Source organism: Homo sapiens, chromosome 20 (assembly GCF_000001405.40).
Source record: "Homo sapiens chromosome 20, GRCh38.p14 Primary Assembly".
Lineage (NCBI taxonomy): Eukaryota > Metazoa > Chordata > Mammalia > Primates > Hominidae > Homo > Homo sapiens.
In genome coordinates, this window is record NC_000020.11 from 17769390 (window position 1) to 17792302 (window position 22913).

The following is a 22913-nucleotide window of genomic DNA, read 5'->3' on the forward strand; positions in this document are numbered from 1 at the left end:
CGTGGTCAGTTTCAAACTATCAACCTGATCTCGATAAAAGCAGAGTTGAGAAAAGATGCACGTAATTGGCTCTTGAGACCTGACATGAGCTGGCTCCAGCACAACACAGCCTTCAAGTACATTTTGTTTCCCATGTGACTCTAGAACCACATCAGAATTTTCTTCAAGGTTGTTTTACCAACAGTCACTCAAGAACACTTGCTGACAATCCAAGACAGAGACCTAAATTCTCTTCTAGAACTTAGAGCCACTTCTAAAATCAAGATTAATGCTACTTTAGGCTCTAGAGTGAAATGTGCATGAAGAGATGTCACCTGACAGTGTAAAATTTATTCCCAGGTATTGCCTGCCTTCAGCACGCCACTCGGTTCCGCTCTTATTCTGTTGTGCACATTCAATCCACTCATTGACAATAACAACTTTCAAAGCTTTCCCTCAAAATTTTATTACATAAAATGTTTGGCATTTATAAAAATAGTATATGACTAGGCCAGGCATGGTGGCTCAGGCCTGTAATCCCAGCACTTTGTGACACTGACGTGGGTGGATGACTTGAGGTCAGGAGTTTGAGATCAGCCTGGCTAACATGGCAAAATCTTGTCTCTATAAAAAATATAAAAATTAGCCAGGCATGGTGGCCCACGCCTGTAATCCCAGCTACTCAGGAGGCTGAGGCACAAGAATTGCTTGAACCCAGGAGGCGGAGGTTGCACCGAGCCGAGGTTGTGCCACTACACTCTAGCCTGGGCGACAGAGTGACACTCCATCTCAAAAAATAAAATAAAATAAAATAAAAAATAGTATATGACTATTGTGACCCAATTTAATTCTTATCAATCCATGACCAATCTTTCCGTATCTATACTTGACCCACTTTTCACCTCCTATATTACCTTGAAACAAATCCCAAACATCATTTCATCTGTAAAGATTTCACTAAAAAGCAATAATATTTTAATCTGGAAAACTCATATAAACTGAGGTATTTTGCAACTTTTCAGTATAATAAAAAAAGAAAAAAGTAAGCTGAGGTATAATCAACTGAGGAGGAGTAAATTGTCAGCTCTCTCTGACTTCATGGAATTTTTATTTTTATTTTTGAGACAGAGTCTCACTCTGTCACCTAGGCTGGAATGCAGTGGCGTGATTTCTGCTCACTCCAACCTCTGCCTCCTGGTTTCAAGCAACTCTTATGCCTCAGTCTCCCGAGTAGCTGGGATTACAAGCGTGCACCACCACACCTAGTTAATTTTTTTGTATCTTTAGTAGATAAGAGACTTTGACATGTTGGCTAGGCTAGTCTCGAACTCCTGGCCTCAAGCGATCTGCCTGCCTTGGCCAAGGCAGGAGGATTGCTTGATTGAGTCCAGGAATTAGAGACCAGCCTGGGCAACATACGGAGACCCCATCTCAAAAAAAAATTTAAAAATTAGCTGGGTGTGGTGGTGTATGCCTGTGGTCCCAGCTACTTAGGAGGCTGAGGCAGGAGGATCGCTTGGGCCCAGGAAGTTGAGGCTGCGGTGAGCCATGACCACACCACTGCACTCCAGCCTGGGCAACAGAGTGAGACCTTGTCTCAAAATAAAGAAAAAAAAAGGAAAAGAAAATTGGGGATCATTTGCCAACATTTAGCAATTGGGAGATTTTTCTATAAAAATCCTATGGAGGCCAACCCAACAGCTTCTCTCCCCAGCTTTAAGCAGGGCTGATTGGAGACTCAACCCCCTACTCCCTCCCAAGACACCTCTGGCCAATGAGGAATGGATGTTGGTGGGATAAATACTCCAGCTTCCTTGCCCCTCAGGTGGGCTGCTGTGAAGCATGTCCCTGCCATCTCCCAAGGCCCCTACAGTGTTGAGTTCTGCTTGTCCACGGTGCTAACTACCCATCAATACTCTGAACAGGTTTGTCTCCCTTCCCCGCTCCCCAGGGGGGCTTCCAGAAATGCGTTTCCAAACAATCTTCTGAACTCCATCTTTCTCTACTTCTGGGAGAATTCAACCCAAGATCTGGTCCACCAGCTCTCAGCCCAAGTCCTCCCAGTTACCAGCTCTACCCCCGGCGGGGCATGTTCATCCGGAGTGCTGCTGTGACCCAGTCATTGTGCAAGGGCGCCGTGCTGCAAAGATCAAAGAAGCCTCTGCATTCTGGAAAATATTGGGTCAAATAGCATGTCATTTTAGAAAAGCTCTCAAGTATGGCATTTCCTGAGCACTGCAATTACAGCCTCTTTCTATGTTGGCTTTAAATGCCCGTGTAAGCAGCTATTTACTCTCTGGCTCGGGGCACCACTAAAGGGCTCTTGCTCGCTCTAAATATATCATGACAAACTCATAACCCTCAGGCTGCCCGAATGTACATTTGTGAGAGTCGGCCACCGTGCTTGTGGTTGAGTGCGTCCACATACAACCGTGCCCTGAGTGCAGTTCAAAGCTAAGCAGAGCCTCTTCCCTACTTTCCCCTTCGCCGCTCCCCTCCCCAGGAGAAGCCATGAGGAATTTCTCTGAAGAGAAAAAAGCGACAGGACTTTGAGATTCACTGTTAGACTGGCTCCAAGGGCAGGAGCTTCCTAGAGTTTAACAATAGGCCTGGCACTTAAAATATGTGCCAATAAATATTTGTCAAATTCTGAACCACGTTGGTGGCTTGCTTTCCCTCCCTCCCTTCCTCCTCCCTTTTCTTTCTTTTTTTTTCTTTCCCTTCCTTCCTTCTTTTTCTCTTTCTTCCTTCCTGTCTTTCTTCCCTTCTCTTTGCCTTCCCTCCTTCCTTCCTTTCTTTCCCTCCTTTCAAAAGTATACACATGTCATTGCTTGTAATAGACAAAAAACTGGATTCAACCTTCGTGCCGATGGACAATAGCAGGTTAAGTCCTGTACATCCACCTAATGGAATATTCTGTGGCCTTTTCAAAGAGAGCTCTTTATGCTCTGAGGTGGAGGTGCCTCCCAGACATATTGTTAAGTGAAAGAAGTCACATGCTGAAGAGCATGTATGGTGTGTTATCACCTGTGAAAAAAGAAAAAAATGCTTATAAATGCATGAAATACCTCAGGAAAGCTAAAAAAGAAACTAACAAAGGTTGCTTCTGGAGAGGAGAAGTGGAATGTAGGGGTTCGAGGTGAGAAAGAAACCTCACTTTGTGTATTTTATTGATTGTATGTATGTATTTTTCAAATGCAATATCAATAAAAAGAAAGATAAAAGAGCCTGCTTTCCAGTCTGAATGCACTCCCTGGGGTGTGCATTTTCACAGTGGGTTTTGGAATCCTGTGTGCGCCCCCAGCAAAGTGCCTGCCTCAGAATACATAACAGATAGGTCCGTCTTGAGGGAAGCAGGTGGAGTTCTCACCAGTGGTTCCCATCTACCAAAGTCAGGCTGGCAACTTGACCTTCTTTAGGCAGAAACATCACAAATTAGAAGAAAGCATTCTCACAAGAGCACAGTGGACACACTTCATTCACTCTGGACGCATCTGCTGAGCACCGACTGTTTGCCGCACAGTGTTCCAGGCTCTGGGGTATGGCAGAGCAAGACGGATAATAACCCTGCCCTTCCTGCCTTCTAGCTTGCCTTCTAGCTGGAGGAGGAGGGGGCAATCAACAAGTTAAGTAAATAGATGGAGGCCGGGCACGGTGGCTCACGCCTGTAATCCCAGCACTTTGGGAGGCCAAGGCAGGTGGATGTCTTGAGCCCAGGAGTTCAAGACCGGCCTGGGCAACATGGCAAAACCCCATCTCTACAAAAAATACAAAACATAGCTGGGCGTGATGGTGGGCACCTGTAGTCCTAGCCACTCAGGAGGCTGAGGTGGGAGGATCACCTGAGCCTGGGAGGTCCAGGCTGCAGTGAGCCATGATCATGCCACTGCATGCCAGCCTGGGTGACAGAGTGAGACCCTGTCTCAAGTAAATAAATAAATAAGTAGATGGAGTATGTTAAATCTAGGTAAGGGCTCAGGAGGGGAAACAGCAGGAAAAGTGAATACGAAGTGCTGGGGGTGGGGGCAAGGCTGTGACTTCAAGGTGGTCAGCGGAATCCTCACAGAGAAGGTCAAGGCCTGAGGAGGGGAGGCAGTGGCTCTGGAGATATCTGGGGGAGGAGCTGGAAGGACCAGCAAGTGTAGGGACGAAGCTCCTCCACCGTTTGTAGATGGGTCTGGGTGCCCAGGAGCTCCTGGGAACTCCTCTGAGGCCTGGTTTTGTATGAACTTAGTTTCTCTGAACTTGGATCAGTCAGCCCCATGCTCGGAATCAGGTGGAGCCAAATGCAAAAAGGGACCCAGGGCTGCATGGCTCATGCCGAGAATGATGCCCTGCCGGCTCAACCTCCACTGCAGGCTCAGGTTTGGAGGAAATAGGCCCCAGAGACTAAAACAATAATACATGTTCCAAGAATACTTCAAAAATATTCCTCCTCACAGGCTTTCCCAGTGTGGGTTCTCCAGCCCACAAAACGCTGTGCCGAGAGAAAGTGGCTTCTAGGGGGCCTCTTGGAGACTGACCGAGGCTCCAACAAGTCCTGAGTAAGAAAACCTAACTCACTTTGTTCAGTTGGGTGTCTCCCAAACTTCCCTGATGGAAGAAGCTTTTTTTTTAAGTTACTGCTATTAATATTCTTGGACACAAATGTCCATGGACTCCTCTGAGTGACATTGAATTAGGAGGTTTCGGTGGATTCATCCCTGGAGAAATCATTTTATGAATCAAATACAGAAGTCTTTGCTTTCTGTTATTTTCCCTGTAAGAGTCTCTTTCAAGACTGTTACCCAAAAAAGAAAAAAGGAAAAACCAAAAAGAAGGTAAGCCTTAAAAATAACAAGAGCGTGCTATTTCCAGTTCAGTGGAATGCCTGTGTCCACTTACGAACAGCGAGTGGGCACCTCGGCTGTGGACAGACCCTGTGCCCGGTAAGTGGGCAACTGTCCAACTGTGCGACCACATTCAGCGTAAGGATGGCCTATCCCCCACTGCCCCTAAACCTTCCCTATTGCCTAAGAATGGGGGAAGGTGAAAGAGAACTTCCTAGAAATGAAGCCTGGAAATTCTCTTCCTAGGTATATGTCTACCAGAAACCAGTGCTTGTGCTGCATAGAAGCTTCCTAAGACATGTACGAGAATACACATAGGAGCACTGCTCATCATGCCCCCAAACAGGAAACAACCCAAATATCCATCAGCAGGAGGAGATATAAATTATGTGTGTGTGTTCATACAATGGAACACAACACAATGAGAAAAAGTATAAACTACCGCCACACACAGCAGCATGGAGGAACCTCTGGAAGCTTGCTGTGGGATTCCTTTGTTTGAAGGTCAAGGACAGGCAAGACTGCCCCATGATGACAAAGGTCAGAACAATGGCTAGTTTAGGGGGCAGTGCGAGAGACCCTGCTGGAAGCTGAAAATACGCAGAAAACCAGCAAGCTGCCCGCTTATAATTCATGCCCTTTACTCTAAGTTATATGCCAATAAAGAAGTCAACAAGTTGAGAAGTGAAAACATAAAAGTACACTTTGGGAGGCCGAGGCAGCCGGATCACGAAGTCAAGAGATTGAGTCCATCCTGGCCAATAAGGTGAAACCCCGTATCTACTAGAAATACAAAAATTAGCTGGGCGTGGTGGTGTGCGCCTGTAATCCCAGCTACTCAGGAGGCTGAGGCAGGAGAATCGCTTGAACCCGGGAGGCAGAGGTTGCAGTGAGCCAAGATCACGCCACTGCACTCCAGCCTGACGACAGAGCGAGACTCTGTCTCAAAAAAAAAAAAAAAAAAAGATAAAAGTAAAGGCTGGAAAAGGGGAAGAGGTAGCCCAGAGCTGCCTGCTTTTCTCGCCCTATTAGGGATCCCCTAAATGCCATCGAGAGGCAAAGGTCGTTTTTTCTCCATCCTCTGCTACCATCCCCAATCCAAGCCACCATCACCTCCAGCCCCTGCTGGGTCTCCCCACTACACCTGTTGCACCCATCCCCCCAACCTTAGTGTCTACACGGCCATTAGAGAGATCTTTCCAACACACGAATCTGGGGACGCCACTCGCGTGATGGATTCTTCAACTTCTTACCTTTGTCCTCAGGCTAAAAATCTCAATGCCTCAATAGGGTTTACAGGACCTCTCCAGAGCTGACTGCAGCCTCCTCTGTCACCACCCTTCCTCTTTTCCACACCTCACTCTCCCCTATAGAATCCACTTCAGGTCCCTAAATAGGTCACGTGGGATCTCTCTCACCTTTGCATAGATCATTTCCCCTACCAGGAACAGTACTCTTCCCAACACACCAGCCAACTCCTGCAGCTGCCCATCACTTCTCCCAGCTCACCCTTCACCTCTCAGCTGCAACATCTCTTCCTCCGAGAAGCCTTCCCTGCTTCCACCTGGGTGCTCCTCTAGCACCCTCCTCAGAGCATCCATGGTGCTGTTGTGCAATCACCTGTGCAAGTATCTTCATCTCCTGCCATATCTAGCCCCAAGAGGGCAGGGGCTGCCTGTCTTGCCTACCATCAGAGCCCCAGCCACTAGCACTCGGTCCAACACGAGGATATGCCCAACATGCGGTCAATGGATGGGTGTGTAGCGCTCCTTGGAAGGTGGCTATGGCAGGTGTGGCAGACTCCATCTATTGGGGTCTGCCTCTTTTTACATAAAAGCTTTCTCTGAAGCCTCAGAAGGCTGCCCTGCCCATGCCCAGGGCACAATGGAAGGGCTGGGGAATCAACCTCTGTCCCCCACAACCCTCAGCCCATGGCTGATGGGAGTTCGTGTATAAACACCTCAGCTCACTCTCCTTGGGGGTAATTCTGAGGGAGGGCTCCACTGCTTCCCTGAGTTTCCCTTGCAGTTGAGCTCCACTTGACCACAGTGGTAACCTGTGTGGGGGCCACAACCCTGGGCCCCCTAAAAGCTTGCTGAAAAATTTTTTGCTGAAAAATCACTGACATGAGGCAGATTAATTAATAATAGAACAGGGGCCAGGCGCTGTGGCTCATGCCTGTAATCCCAACACTTTGGGAGGGTAAGGTGGTCTGATCACTCGAGGCCAGGAGTTTGAGACCAGCCTGGCCAACATGGCGGAACCCTGTTTCTACAAAAAATACAAAAAAATTAGCCAGGCGTGGTGGCGTGTGCCTGAAATCCCAGCTACTCAGGAGAGGATCACTTGAACCCGGGTGGCAGAGGCTGCAGTGAGCTGAGATCACACCACTGCACTTCAGCCTGGGCAACAGTGTGAGACTCTGTCTCAAAAAAGAAAAAAAAGAAAAAGAAAAAAAAGACAAAATTATTTTACAGATACACACGAGAGCCTTCAGAAGGAGATCCCAGCCCCATGGTGGCTCAGAGGCTTATATACTATCCTGCCAAAGTGGGAGGGGCAATGAGAAATGCTTCTGAAGGGATTTCTAGGGAGAATGAACAAGTCTTAGAGGGAGGGGAAGGAAAAAACAATTGTTCTCATTGGTGGGTCTGGGTCTTAGGCAGATAAAGGGACTTCAGCTTCTTTGAGAGAGACAGTGGGGGCAGGGGAAAGGTCAGAGAGACCTTGAAGCTTCTTCATGTTGTTTTAAATGTTCAATTTCCTTAAAATTTTAAACATTATTTCCAACATTCAGTTGAGCATGTCAAAATGCCATATTTTGGGGTATTGGTTTCTGAGCCCCAACACCTACTTCCTAAGACACCTATTTCCCTTCCTCGTCTCACTCCTATCAATATCTCTGAGGGCCACATCACAAATAAACAACTTGCCTTTGAATGCTTGCCTCAGGGACCACTTCTGGGGCCCTGTATCCGATAGCAGGGCTTCCCTTGCCCATTCCCTATCTGGCCCCAAGCTTCATGTGGGTCTCTTGGCCCAGGCCCCTTGCCGGGACACCCTCTACAGCACACACAGGGCGGAGATCAGATGGACACAGGCCACTGAGGACTTGGGAATGGAAAGGCAGTGCCTGTCAAACTGAGAGGAGCAGCCAGGATGCTGGGGATAAAGGAAAATATGAGGCCACAGGGACGTGGTAAAGAGTCGCTGACACAGAAATTAAAGTTGGAAATGCAACACCTTCAACGGAGGCTCGATGTGTGCCTGGAGGGGGCTGGGCTTCTGCCCTGGGTTCTGTAGGTTGAGTGAAGCTCACTGCCCAAACTTGCGAAATGCAGCAGAAGCCCGTGTACCTCCCTCCATTCCAGCCTCTGAAGGCCCAGGAGTCCTACAAGGTGCCAGTAAAGCATGAAGCAATGCCCTGGAAAGCACTAGGCACCCTGAGAGACTTGATAGAGATGTCTAAGGGATAAGGGACCCTGGGTGGACCTTCCCAGGTTCCCAGCTGGAGGATCCAAGCCTCCGACAGCCAGGGGGCCACAGCCTCTATTTGAAGATGGGACCAAGGTCTGAACTGGCACATCTGGGATCCCAAGTTAAAGATGTCCCTTGGCATCAGAGGTGGATGGGTGGGAATGTACGGCTGATGGGGATGAGAGATGGGCACCAGGAATACCAGCAATGGAGGCTGGGAGTCTGAGAAGCATGAGTCCTTCTAGGATGCCTTCCCCACACCCACAGGCTATGGGATTTGGGCCCAAGCCCTGAATGAGGCCTTAGGAGACCAGAGTGGGATCTGTGCTCACCCCACTGGCTCAGCATCCCTGGTTCAGTCATAGGTCTGCTGACCCTTCAGTTGGGCTTTCCAGACATCTATGAAATAACTACAAGTCACATTGAATTGGCCGGATATTTACACTGCCCTGGACCCCAAAAGAAATCCCTAAGTATGGGGAAGAGGTGGGCAGAGAAACTACTGAGGAGAGTAGAGGGGTGCCTAAGGTCAGATATTTGAAACATCTACTTTGAGGTAGCTCTTTGGGCTGCTGTTAACTGGTCTTAGCTTGCACCGATTTGCATGGCTGTATTAACTCCATAGATACCGGTGCCCTCCAATACACATGTGAGCAGTGGGCATGTGAAATGCAGCTAATCTAATCCAACTGCTATGTGCTGTGAGGGTGGAACACACACTGACTGCAAGACCTGGAAGGAAGAAAAGATACAGTATCTTATTAATAGTTTTATATTAATTGCACATTGAAATGATATTTCAGATAGATTGGGTTACATGAAATATATTATTAAAATTTATCGAGGAAGGAAGGAAGGAAGAAAGACAACAACAAGCTCCGTCTCCCTCTCCCTCTCCCTCTCCCCACGGTCTCCCTCTCCCTCTCTCTCCATGGTCTCCCTCTGATGCCGAGCCCAAGCTGGACTGTACTGCCGCCATCTCGGCTCACTGCAACCTCCTTGCCTGATTCTCCTGCTTCAGCCTGCCGAGTGCCTGGGATTGCAGGCGCGCGCCGCCACGCCTGACTGGTTTTCGTATTTTTTTGGTGGAGACAGGGTTTCGCTGTGTTGGCCGGGCTGGTCTCCAGCTCCTAACCGCGAGTGATCTGCCAGCCTCGGCCTCCCGAGGTGCCGGGATTGCAGACAGAGTCTCGTTCACTCAGTGCTCAATGTTGCCCAGGCTGGAGTGCAGTGGCGTGATCTCGGCTCGCTACAACCTCCACCTCCCAGCCGCCTGCCTTGGCCTCCCAAAGTGCCGAGATTGCAGCCTCTGCCCGGCCGCCACCCCGTCTGGGAAGTGAGGAGCGTCTCTGTCTTGCCGCCCATCGTCTGGGATGTGAGGACCCCTCTGCCCTGCTGCCCAGTCTGGGAAGTGAGGAGCGCCTCTTCCCGGCCGCCATCCCGTCTAGGAAGTGAGGAGCGTCTCTGCCTGGCCGCGACCCCGTCTGGGAGGTGAGGACCGTCTCTGCCCGGCCGCCCCGTCTGAAAAGTGAGGAGCCCCTCCGCCCGGCAGCCGCCCCGTCTGGGAAGTGAGGAGCGTCTCCGTCCGGCAGCCGCCCCGTGCGGGAGGTGGGGGGCGCCTCTGCCCAGCCGCCCCTTCTGGGAAGTGAGGAGCCCCTCTGCCCAGCCGCCACCCCGTGTGGGAGGTGTACCCAACAGCTCATTGAGGACGGGCCATGATGACGATGGCGGTTTTGTTGAATAGAAAAGGGGGAAATGTGGGGAAAAGATAGAGAAATCAGATTGTTGCTGTGTCTGTGTAGAAAGAAGTAGACATGGGAGACTCCATTTTGTTCTGTACTAAGAAAAATTCTTCTGCCTTGGGATGCTGTTAATCTATAACCTTACCCCCAACCCCTTGCTCTCTGAAACTTGTGCTATGTCCACTCAGGGTTAAATGGATTAAGGGCGGTGCAAGATGTGCTTTGTTAAACAGATGCTCTGAAGGCAGCATGCTGGTTAAGAGTCATCACCACTCCCTAATCTCAAGTACCCAGGGACACAAACACTGCGGAAGGCCGCAGGGTCCTCTGCCTAGGAAAACCAGAGACCCTTGTTCACTTGTTTATCTGCTGACCTTCCCTCCACTATTGTCCTATGACCCTGCCAAATCCCCCTCTGCGGGAAACACCCAAGAATGATCAATAAATACTAAAAAAAAACAAAAACAAAAAAAAACCATAAAATAAAATTAACAACATAAATTAAAAAAAAAAAAAAGACAACAACAAAAAAACCTTGAATCAGGATGAAGGGATTTGGGGTGATCTTTTCCATTCTCTAGTTTCAAACTTCACGTAACGTGATATTACTTTTAAATTTTTTATTAAAATTGTTTAAAAACAAAATGAAAAAAAAATAAATAAATAAAAATAAAATTTATCTCATTGTTTTATGTGTTGAATTGTGGTCCCCAAAAAGATATGTTGGAGTGCTAACCGCTAGTACCTCAGAATGCTACCTTATTTGAAAATAGGGTTGTTGCAGATGTAATTCGTTGAGATAAGGTTGATATGGTTTGGTCTGTGTTCCTGCCCAGATATCATGTCTAATTGGAATCCCTGATGTTGGAGGTTGGGCCTGGTGGGAGGTGACTGGATCATGGGGGTGGTTTCTTATGAATGGTTTAGCATCATTCCTTTGCTGCTGTTCTTGTGATAGTGAGTGAATGAGTTATCATGAGATCTGGTTGTTTAAAAGTGTGTAGCACCTCTCCCCTTCTTCTCTTCCCTCTGGCTACATAAGATGTGCCTGCTTCCCCTTCACTTTCTGCTATAATTGTAAGTTTCCTGAGGCCTCCCCAGAAGCAGAAGCCACCATGCTTCCTGTACAGCTTGCAGAACTGTGAGCCAATGAGACATCTTGTCTTTATAAATTACCCAGTCTCAGGTATTTCTTTATAGCAGTGTGAAGATGGACTCATACAAAGGTCATACTGGAATAGGGTGGGCCCTCAATGCAATATGATTGGTGTTCTTATAAAAAAAAGAAGATACAGACACAGCAAAAACATAGCCATGTGGCGATGGAGACAGAGATTGGAGTGATGCAGCTGCCAGTCAAGGAATCCCACGATTGCCAGCAAGCACCGTGTGCGGGGAGAGGCAGGAAAGGCTTCTCCCCTACAGGCATCACACAGGCCACGGCTCTGCAGGAGCCCCGATTTTGTCCTTCTGGTCTCCAGAGCTGCGAGACCATAAATGTCTGTGGTCTTAGGCCACCCACTTTGTGGCATATCGTGACAGCAGCCCTAGGAAAGGAACATACCCTGTTTCATTTTACTTATTTAACGTGGCTACCAGAACCTTGTGAAGTACGCACACCATGATTTCCTCTTTCCAGAGGAGGAAGCCGAGACTCAGAGAGGCCAAATGGTGCGTGTAAAGATGACAAAGACCCCAGGAGACAGATACAAATTCAGACATCCCCCTTCAGACCTCAGTGTTCTTTCTGGAACTGCATCCAACCTATTGGTTTCACTTTTATGTAACAAAGTTGTGAGGTGTTTTCAGTAGCCACGGACCCTCAGGTCACGTAACATGAGCATGCCCAGATGACTTCAGTGTGCAACCTGGGAGAGGGGGGATCCTAAGTGCTGGGATGGAGGATCCAATCAGATCAAGCTCTGGCATCACCCCGTGGCAGGATCCAGTCATATCACGCCTCCTGGCATCACCTCTTTGCAGGATCCAATCAGATCTCACCTCATTACCTTATGCTTATAAAACCTTACCCAGCCCCCAACTCGGGGAGATGCTGCTTTGGGAATTATCCCTGGTGTTCGCCTTACTTCTTACAAGTAATAACATCCCCTTGCTAAGTCCTCCTTGGTTGTAGTCACTGGGTTGATATCTGCCAAGCAACTGAACCTGCTGGTTGTGTGGATGACATTTCCATTGCTCATTTGTTCGTTTAACATGATTTATTGAGCACCTACAGTTTGCCAGGCACTGCTCTCAGCATTTCAGTTAGATAGATAAACCAAACACAGATCCCTGCCTTGTGGAGCTTATGGTACAGCAGGGAAAGACAGACATTAAATAATAAACATAATGAATAAGTACTTTTTTTGGTACGTTAGAAAGGCTCCATGCTATAAGAAAATAAGTAGAACAGGGTAAGGGGGATTGGAAGTGAAGGGTGGTCAGTTTGCAGTATTACATAGGGGGGTCAGGGTCAGCCCCATGAGGAGGTGAAGCTCAGCAAAGATGTGAAGGAGCTGAGGGAGTGACCCCTGCTGAAATCTGGGGGGAAAGTGTCCCAGGCATAGGGAACCGTCAGTGCTAAATGACAGCATGAATATCTAAGACATATCCAAGGGAAAACAAAGCAGCTTTTCAGGTGGGTTTTTGTCACTTGTTGGAATTGCTGCATCTAAGTGCTTTCTTCATGTCTCTTCATGAGACTTGACCAAAGGCCTTTCCCAGAGAAGGGCCCTAGAAGGGTCATGTGGGTTGTCTTGCATGGGCAGATGTCTCAGCAACAGTGGAAACCTCTCATCTGTGGCAGAGATTCTGGGGGCTGCACCAAGCCAGGCTTCCCTGGTGGGTCACCAGCCTAGTGCATGAGGAGGTCAGGACCAGCCCCACTGAATGGCGTTAAACACGCTGCAGCTCTTGAATCTGGAGATGGACTGAGCAGGGTGGGAGCCAGGGAGAGAGGGGACCATTTTTCTTACCTAAATAACCTGGAAGTATAATGATAATTGTGTTATTATCAGTGATTAGGGTGACAATAAGAGAAGATAATTTGTTTAAGGCAGTCCCAACCCCAAGTGTGTCAAGTATGTACGATATGGGGAGTATTTTTAAAAGATATCTGAACAAGAAAAGTCTGAGATCAAGTTAAATGTTCCTTCTCTCACAGAACAGGATGTAAATCTGATAGTCCCTGGGCTTTAGAGAAAATGATACTGCTGGATATTAAATTGTACAGCGTCACTATTTATTATTTATTCCAGTAAGAATGCTATCACCCTTACCAGACACCTACGTTTTATACTCACAAACTTCCCTGACCAGGGCCAAGAACAGAAACTCAACAGTTAGAGACTCTGCCAAGTGCAGGGGACAGGGCAGTATTACTCGGTGGTCCTCACAGGCATAGGCAATGTAGTGGGGCATTGGCAAGATGAACAAATTATGACTCCTGGACTCAATAAATAAGATGATCTCCAATTGTCCTGGCCAGAGTGGGCAAGACCAAGAGGTGGTTTCATTTCTAAGCAGTCAGAGAAGGTAAAAATAGCCTCTCCTCTCACTTCTGCACCACACCTGCATTCTGTTTGCTAGTCATCCCTGTCCTTTATCTGGTCCAGCATTGCTAGACAAGTTGGTGGCTCTGGAGACGACAAGTTTGAGCCATTCTCATGGCTGGATGAAACGAGGTATGGGATGGGAGTCTAGAGTCAGTGTCCTCAACTTCTCACCCCATCCCTAGGGTTCCCCACATGAGTCTAGTTTAATGCAATCCTCATTTTGCACATGGGGAGATAGAGACCCAAAGGGAGCCAGAACCTGCCCATGTCATGCTTAGGTCAAGGCAACCCGACCTCCATGCTCGTGTCCTTCCATTGCCTCACACTCCCTCACTCACCGAGCTCTGTCTCCTTAGGATGGAAAACAACTTTCAGGAAAATAAAACTCATCCAGGCCTCAAAACTTGAGAGAGGCTGGAGAACAGCCTGCTTTATTCACAAGTGACTAGACCAAGGGACTTCAAACTACATTTCAAGGAATCCCCTGAATGCCTTATAGAGGTTTCTGGAGCTGTGACATGGGGCTGTGTTTCCCCACCCAACCTCCACTCCTCCTGGCCTCACCAGATCTCAGTCCTCATCTGTTTTGTGTTTTGAGGTTCCACACTGGATATCATTGCTTTTCCATATCTGAAAAGCAAGTTTGGGATAAATGCATTGTTCAGAATGCATGGAATACTACTCAGCAACAACACGGATGAATCCAAAATGGGTAATGCTAAATGAAAGATGCCAGGCCCGAAAGGCTACATACTATATGATTCCATCGACACAACATTCTAGCAAAGACAAAACTGTGGGGACAGAAAGCAGCTCAGCAGTTGCCAGGATCTGGGAACTAAGGGTTGACCACAAAGGGTTGCAGTGTTCTGTGTTAACAGGGATGTTTCCTATCCTGATAGTGGCAGTGGTTACGTGACTGTCAGCATTTGTCAAAACTCACAGAACTATGCAATTACCGTATGTAAATTACACCTCAGTAAAACTCGACTTTAACAAAAAAGCTTGGCGATCACTTCCTGAACATTTTTTTATTCTAAGATCTTTATGAACAGTTAAAAAAGGAAGCAAAAGCTATCAGCCTTTGGGTGTGTAGGGTGGGAAGGAGATGGCCACCCTCTGGGGCCTCCTGCATGTCAGACAACCAGCTCGTCACTTTAGCTCATCTTTTAAAATTCACACTTTCACACATACGTATAATCCTCACAATAATTCTATGGAGAAGCTGAAAACTGACAGGCTCAGTGTGGCAGATAATATTTTCCAGAACAGCAAGAGATAATATGAAAAATAAATAAAATAACACAATGCAGTGTTTTAAGCCACCAGGTTTTGGGGATGATTTGCTGCACAGCAATAGATAATTGGAACACCAGGTAACCCGCCCGAGGCATCTTCGCAGCCAGATAAATGCGGTTCTCTATCCCAGGTCTGCCCCTTCGCTCTGCTCTGCCCCTTCTCTCTGCTTTGCCCTGTTCCTGAATCAGGCAGTGCAATACAAGCCCCACACACAGCTACAGAAAGAAACTCTAAATGCATCCCTCTGCAGAGCAGTGGGACCCAGCCCCACTCTGGGAGCCAGGTTTCAAGGTAGTGCCTGGCATACAATAGGTGCTCAATAAATCTTTGGGAAATAAAGGAAGCGATTCCAGGCCGTCCTAGGAGCTGACAGGACAATGAAGCCGACACAGTTCCTTGTTCACGGTGGGGTTGGCGGCGGGTAGGGAGGAGATTGCCCTTTAGGGAAGAGACGGCAATAAGCAAGCAATTCAGATGACTTTAGACACTAAGTGCCGTGAATGAACAGGGCTCTGTGATGGGGAGTGACTGGATGTATAGGGAGGCCAAGGAAGTCCTCTTTAGGAGATGATATGGGAATGTGTGAATGAGACCTGAAAGACAGAAAGATGCCAGCTTTGGACAGACGAGAAAGTGTCCTCCTGACAGAGGGGTGGTCAAATGAAAAGCTAAAAGAGGTACAAACACACACGTGCACATGTTCATATTCTAGAGCCGAGCAAATAAAACAAACAATATGAGAACATGGAATAAAGTGTAGGGCATCAGTTAGGAGCTCAACTTTGCCACCAGCTCCCCAAGTGACCTTGGAGTGGCTATTTTCTCTCCCTGGGCTTCTGTGTTTCCTGCTGTAGGATGCAGAGGTTGGGTGGAATCGATGACAAGCTGGACTGGCACACCCCAGCCTGTGACAGCAGACTGTGCGCGTCTCCTCCCAGCTCCATATTCGGTGATGTCACCTTGGTAGGTGGAAACTGGCCATAATGGAAGCAGTTATACCATGGGAAGTGGCAAATGCCACCAATCCAAATTTTTTTTTTTTTTGAGAGTTAGTTGCTAAATATTTACCAGCATACCACTGGACTAGATGAGTGCTTCTCAAACGCTTTTGCTAATGTTTCCTGGTGGCAGAGGACAGCTGATACATAACCCCAGAGGCCTGGGGTCTCAGCATTTTAGAATCTTCCTTAGACTCTCCTACTGTAGGCTAGGGGCAGTGACTCACGCCTGTAATCCCAGTCGAGGCAGGCAGATCACTTGAGATCAGAAGTTCAAGACCAGCCTAGCCAATATGGTGAAATCCCATCTCTACTAAAAATACAAAAATTAACCAGATGTGGTGGCACACGCTTGTAATCTCAGCTACTCAGGAGGCTGAGGCACGAGAATCCCCTGAACCCGGGAGGCAGAGGTTGCAGTAAGCCAGGATTGGATTACTGTACTTTAGCCTGGGCGACAGAGTAAGACTCTGTCTCAAAAAAAAAAAAAAAAAAGAAAAGAAAAAAAGAATCTCCTATTGTAGTTTTTAAAGTTTTTAAATCTACAGTTAATTTATCCTTCTACACCTTAATGTGCCTGCATGTCTTGCTTCCTTATACACTCAAAATATAAAATTTTACTTTCATAACTTCTGAAAGATGTATCTTATTGGTCCTGTGGGTTTTTTACATCATGCTACACACACACACACACACACACACACGCGCGCGCGCACAAGCACAGCCCTTCTTGAATCAGTGTGACCCTGTGTCAAGGCTGGCACTAGTCCTCCAGGTGGAAGGCCTCCTCCTCTCCCATCCCTCTTCTTCCCTTTCCCCTTATCCTTTCAAATCCATGGCCCACCCTGACTTGGAATTGAAATGGGCATTGGGTGAGGAGAAAACCAGAACTTGCAGCTGATTCGTGAGGCCCTGGGACCCAGAACAGAGGTTCTCAGGGTCTGCTCTTGACAGTGGGCCCAGGCCTGGTCAGAGATACTTCCCACCCTCTCGTGACAGAGCAGCTGCTGGCTCCTCGCAGGTGTCTCCACCGGCCCTGCCAGCACCCACAGGCGATTTCCCTGCAGACAGAAAGGAATGAGTTTCCTTTTCCTTCTCCTTGTCTGAAAGCAAGTGGGCTTAGATCATCACACTGGGGCTTAGTTAGGGAGATCCGTTTTCTGCATCCCAGACTCGAGGCTACCACAGACTTCCTGGCTGACCTTGGACAAACAGTTTTGTTTTTTCTATGCCTCTTTTTCCACCATCAGCTGCTGCAAACTTCACTGCTGGGGATGGCTGAGTGGATGTCTGAGACGGCCTCGAAAAGGGGCCAAGAATATTTCCAAACACAGAGCTGGGCCCGTGGCCCATGGTTCCATAGCACCAACAGAAAGGCAGAGACCCAGCCTCTCCAGGATGCCAGACTCTGGGGTGCTAGAACACTCATCGTGGAAAATTCCGGAAAAAAAGTGCAAAGCAACAGCATCCCCCAAAGGAGACTTGAGAGGTCTGTGGAGGGTAGGAGGCAGTGTGTGATGGGAACTGATATGGGGACATGGGGGAAGGGACAATCTGATACTGAAGGGACCCTCTCCTCCCCTTCTCCTCTAAGGTTCTCAAAACACCTCCTGGGTCTGCACTGGCACCTCGGCCCTCTGGGGCTGCCCATCCCCCAAGCACTCCAACAAATTTCCACTGAGGGCCTCTTCACCACTCAATTCAATGGCCATTTTCCAGAACTGATCTCACTGTCTGCTCCATCCTGTATGAAACAACCCCTCACTCTCTTCACTTAAAACCCTCTACTTTCATGGTGTATTTGTATTTGTATTGTATTCTCCTAAAGCAGAGACCTGAGACAAAGCCCTACATGCAACCAGTGTATGTAGCGGGTGGTCCTGGGAAGATGCCAGGAAAGCGAGCCCAGGAAAAAGTGTGTGTTACTGGGCTGGGCACTGCTGTGGGCACCCGGGGCTGGAAGCCTGCTGGGACCTTCCAAGGGGCTGTATAGAATGCACCTTAGAACTGTCCCTCCAAAGGCTGCAGGGCAGGAGCATTGGTCTGGACCCCATGGGTTAAATGTCACTTCCCAGGGATATTAACTCCTGAGGCAGAAAAACAGAGAGCCACAGGGGTGCTTAAGGTGGAAGACATCCGTGTGCGCAGGAACGGTCCATACTACAGCTGCGGCCAGTGTGGCCCTGAGGATGAGACCAGCCTGTCTTCTGGACATGGCCTCCATGACAGCCAGCTCCTGGGCTTCTCCTCCTGCTCCTGGGGCCACACTCTCCACCTGCTTCCAGGGCCTCTTCCCTCCACCCCACCCCACCCCACCGAGGCTCCCTTAACCTGCGATGCTTCTCACTGACACCTGCTTGCCTCCCTCCACACCCAATGTCCTTGGCTTCTCTCCATCACTGCACAGAACACATTGGATTCACATTTCGTTATGTTTTTTCTCCTCTAGGAAACTTCTTGTGGGCAGGAACAAGTATTGTTCTGTGGGCCTGTAGCCTAACACCGTGTCTGACACATAGCAGGAGCTCAGAAAGCTCAGGAAGAGGGAAGAAGCTCCTCTCTCTTCCCCGTAAAATGCCCATCAGTGGTGGCATTAGGAATCCATTTTCATTGCCCTTAAGAGCCCACATGAAGGCTGCCTACTGGTTTCTACTCTCCCCTGATTTCTGAAGAATGCAGGACCCTGGGATGGTGCAAGATGCCACTTTTTCTCTCAGGAATTCCAACCCAGCAGGTGATCTCCATCTGGCTGGGACATTCATTGCCCTCTGAAAGTCCCCCATTCCAGAACTCCACCACATTGCCCCCTCCCCACCCCTCACATTTTCATAAGGCTTGGCAAATGTGCAATTCTGTGTGCCTTCCCAGCAAGTTAGGGCTAGTTAGAACCCTGTACCCCATAAAGCAGTTCTTCCCCATCCCCCCTCTTCCAGCCCCCTGGAACCCACCAATCTGCCTTCTGTCTTTATGGATTTTACCTATTCTGTTTTTTTTTTTTTTTTTTTTTTTTGGTAAATAAAGTTGTATGATAGTGACTGACTTCTTTCACTGAGCATAGTGTTTTCAAGGTTCATCCATGTTAGCAAGTATCAGCACTTCATTTCTTTTTCATGACTGAATAACATTCTAGATATACCACAATTAGTTTATCCAATCATCCACTGAGGGACATTTGGGCTATTTCTACCATTTAGCTATTGTGAATAGTCCTGCTATAAGCACACATGTGGGTGTATTTGTTTGAGCACCAGTTTTCAACTCTTTTGAGTATACAGGCAAGGGTGGAATCACTGGGTCATATGATAATTTTATGTTTAAATTTTTGAGGAACCATCAAACCATTTTCCACTAAGGCTGAACCATGAGGCTGGGTTCCAACCAGCCCTAACCTATACTCCCCCCAGCGATATACAAAGGGTCCAATTTCTCCACACCCTTGCTAACACTTGTTATTTTCCATTTTTTTTAAACATCATTTTAGTGGGTGTGAAGTGCTAACTTACTGTGGTTTTGATTTGGATTTCCCTAATAATGAATAATCTTGAGCATCTTTTCATGTGCTTGCTGGCCATTTGTATATCTTCTCTGGAGAAATGTCTATTTGATTAGTTTACCCAAGTCCTTTTCGAAATCAGGCTGTTTGTCCTTTTGTTATTGAGTTGTAAGAGTTCTTCACATATTCTGGGCCGGGCATGGTGGCTCATGCCTGTAATCCCAGCATTTTGGGAGGCCGAGGCAGGTGGATCATGAGGTCAGGAGATCGACCTGGCTAACATGGTGAAACCTCGTCTCTACTAAAAATACAAAAAAAAAAAATTAGCTGGGCGTGGTGGCAGGCGCCTGTAGTCCCAGCTACTCGGGAGGCTGAGGCAGGAGAATGGCGTGAAGCTGGGAGGCGGAGGTTGCTGTGAGCCAAGATCATGCCACTGCACTCCAGCCTGGGCAACACAGTGAGAGAGACTCTGTCTCAAAGGAAAAAAGAAAAAAAAAAAGAATTCTTTACATATTCTGAATACCAGACTCATCAAAAATATGACTTGCAAATACTCTCTCTCATGTTGTAAGCTGTCTTTTCAATTTCTAGAGAATGTCCTTTGATGCGCAAAAGTGTTTAATTTTGAAGCCCAATTTATCCAGCTTTTCTTTTGTCACACGTGCTTTAGTGTCATATCTAAGAATTTATTGCTAAATCTAAGGTCAAAGATTTCCCATGTTTTCTTCTAAGAGTCTTATGGTTGGTTTATTTTGAGTAAATTTTTTTGCACATGATGTGAGGTAGGGGTGCAGCTTTATTCTTTTGCATGTAGATATACAACTGTCTGAATGTTCTCTTTAACTTCCCACATCAACCCCAGGAGAGAAGCAGTGTTATCAACTCCATTTTACAGATGGGGAAACTGAGGTTTTCCAAGGTAAAAAAGCTGCCCAAAGCCGCAGAGATAGCACATGGTACCACTGAGATTTGGTCTTGGGCCTGAGTAAGAACCAGCATATCTGACCATTGTGACTGATGCTCTGTCACCTGGCCCTGGCCCTTTCGCCCCCTGATTTCAGCCTGGCTGTGGGGGGTCAGTGCGTGTGCACGGCCCACATCCCTTCTCAGCTGTGCTGCAGCATCTCTCTGCTCTCCCATTGTGGGGTTTTTCCTGAAGCCTTGAGAGGCAGCAAAGTCCACACAAAGGCACAATTCTGGGAGGTGACACCCTTCTAGTGGGAGAATTCTACATGCTTCCTCTGTGGATGGAGCTGCCATGCCCACCTCATGAAGCCTCTCAATGAAGCATCCTCCCCCTCTCAGTCTCCCCACACCGCACCCTTGCCTGCTGGGATCCCCACCCAGATAAACCACCTGCATCTAAGTTCTTGCTCAGCTCTGCTTTTGAGGAATCCAACTAAGGTACCCACCCAAATTTGCAGGAAAGGCCTCCGACCCTTGCCAACTCCCCTTCCATCAGAGCACTCCAAGCCTCAGCCTGGCCACTAAACAGGAGGCTTCTGTTTCCCAGCCCAGGCCACAGCTCCTGCTGATCCCATATCTGAGCTGGAGGCCAGAAGGAGTAATTTTACCACAGCTCTGAGCTCCTCTACAAGAAAGGATGCAAATCCTATTTGGGCTGATGTTGCCAAAACCCAAACAAGAATTCTACCTCAAGGCACTTCTTTTTTCAAGACCACATGCACAGCTGGGCTTCCCCACGAAATCATAGCTCTCAGCACTCAAGATTTGTCCACCCGGCACCCTCCCTGGAAAGGCCTCCTGGCAAAAAGGAAGACAGTAGGAAGGAACTGGGAGAAGACAAGCGCCCAGGGACCCGCATAATTTTTGTTCTAGAGTTTCATTGCCTCACAGTTTTTCCAGATATAAATGACCTTTTCTAATAGAGGGGCTTGGACCAAGAGACTACTCTGAGCTCTGCCTCCAGAAATCAGGATAGTCCCACAGCAGCCTTCTGATAGCCTGGAGATGTCAGTGGTCACCCACCATGCTCCCCTCTCTGCCACTGGCACAGGGCACAGGGGCTTCCCTTCTAGTGGGCATGATAGCAAATTCCTGACGTTATCTCCCAGGCCTTAACCCCCAACTCTTAGAAGTGTGCTTAGCCTGCAAGGGGTCAGGGGACAGTGTGATTGTAGGTTATGAACCAGAGAGCCACATTCAGGTTCACGATTTGGGGTTATCCAGATAGTTACTGGACCCATCCTAAGCACTCAGGGTCAGGCTGACATCCTGCATTCCCAAATGGGAAGGCAGGACATGAGGATGCCGACCTCTCAGAAGCTGCAACTTCCTCAATTTTTTTTTTTTTTTTTAGATGGAGTCTCACTCTGTCACCCAAGCTGGAGTGCAATGGTGCAATCTCAGCTCACTGCAACCTCCGCCTCCTGGGTTCAAGTGATTCTCCTGCCTCAGCCTCTTGAGTAGCTGGTATTACAGGCACACGACACCATGCCTGCCTAATTTTTTGTATTTTTAGTAGAGAAGGGGTTTCACCATGTTGGTCGGGCTAGTCTCAAACTCCTGACCTCTTAATCTGCCCGCCTGGACCTCCCAAAGTGCTGGGATTACAGTCATGAGCCACCGCGCCCAGCCCAACTTCCTCAACTTTTAATGGCTTCTCTTAAAAGCCTGTCTTGGGTGTTGTTCTCCTCCCACACCTTTTCTCCCTCCGCACAGATGGCAACACACACAGAGCTGCAGTCCCTTGTCCACACACCAAAACCCCAGGGAGACACATCTCTGCATTCTCATGGCCCACCTGACTCCACGTGGAACATGTTGTCAGGGCTCGATGGATGTCTGTGGAATGGATTGGGTGCGGGCCACACACACAGGCCACTCACCACAGATACAGCAGCTCTCAATCTTGGCTGCACATGAGAATCACTTGAGAAGCTCAAAAAAGCATTGAAGCCGGGTCCTACCAGAGATCCTGATTTGATTGGTCTGGGTTGGGACCCAGGTAATGAGATTTTTAAAAGAATTACCCAGATGATTCCAGGGTGTGTACAACAGGAGTTCTCAAACTTGAGCCGCATCAGGATCCCTTGGGCCCGGCGGGGGGTGGGGGAGGGGCTTTTTAAAACACAAATTGCTGCTCCTGCAACCTCTGCCCAGAGTATCTGATTCAGTAGATCAGCAGTGGGACTCCAGAATCCATGCTTTGGGTTTGTGTGTGTGTGTGTTTTTAAGAGACAATGTCCCACTCTGTTGCCCAGGCTAGATTGCAGTGGCACGGTGACAGCTCACTGTAGCCTCCAGCTCCTGGGCTAAGTGATTCTCCCACCTCAGCTTCTGGAGTAGGTGGAACTACAGGTACGCACCACCATGCCTGGCTAACAGAATCTGCACTTCTAACAAGTGATGCAGGAGAGTTTTGGAAAACAGGGGCAATCTGTTCTTTGGGGAGAGAGCTGGGAGTAGAAATGCAGAGTATGGAGGGATTTGGGAAATGCCAGGGCAGGGTGTGCCTCGGGTGAAGCATGAAGGGCATGGGCAAGGGGGAAGGACATGGGAAAGGAGGTGGGCAGGGTAGG

General features: G+C 48.2%; 1 annotated feature.

Moving 5' to 3' along the window:
* Positions 21835 to 22004: an enhancer, noted in NCBI's record as "experimental_59976 CRE fragment used in MPRA reporter constructs". NCBI's record gives its function as "activates a minimal promoter by MPRAs in K562 erythroleukemia cells, with activity observed for both the introgressed and non-introgressed 20:17771954 variant alleles {active_cell/tissue: K562}" and the evidence as "EXISTENCE:reporter gene assay evidence [ECO:0000049][PMID:34662402]".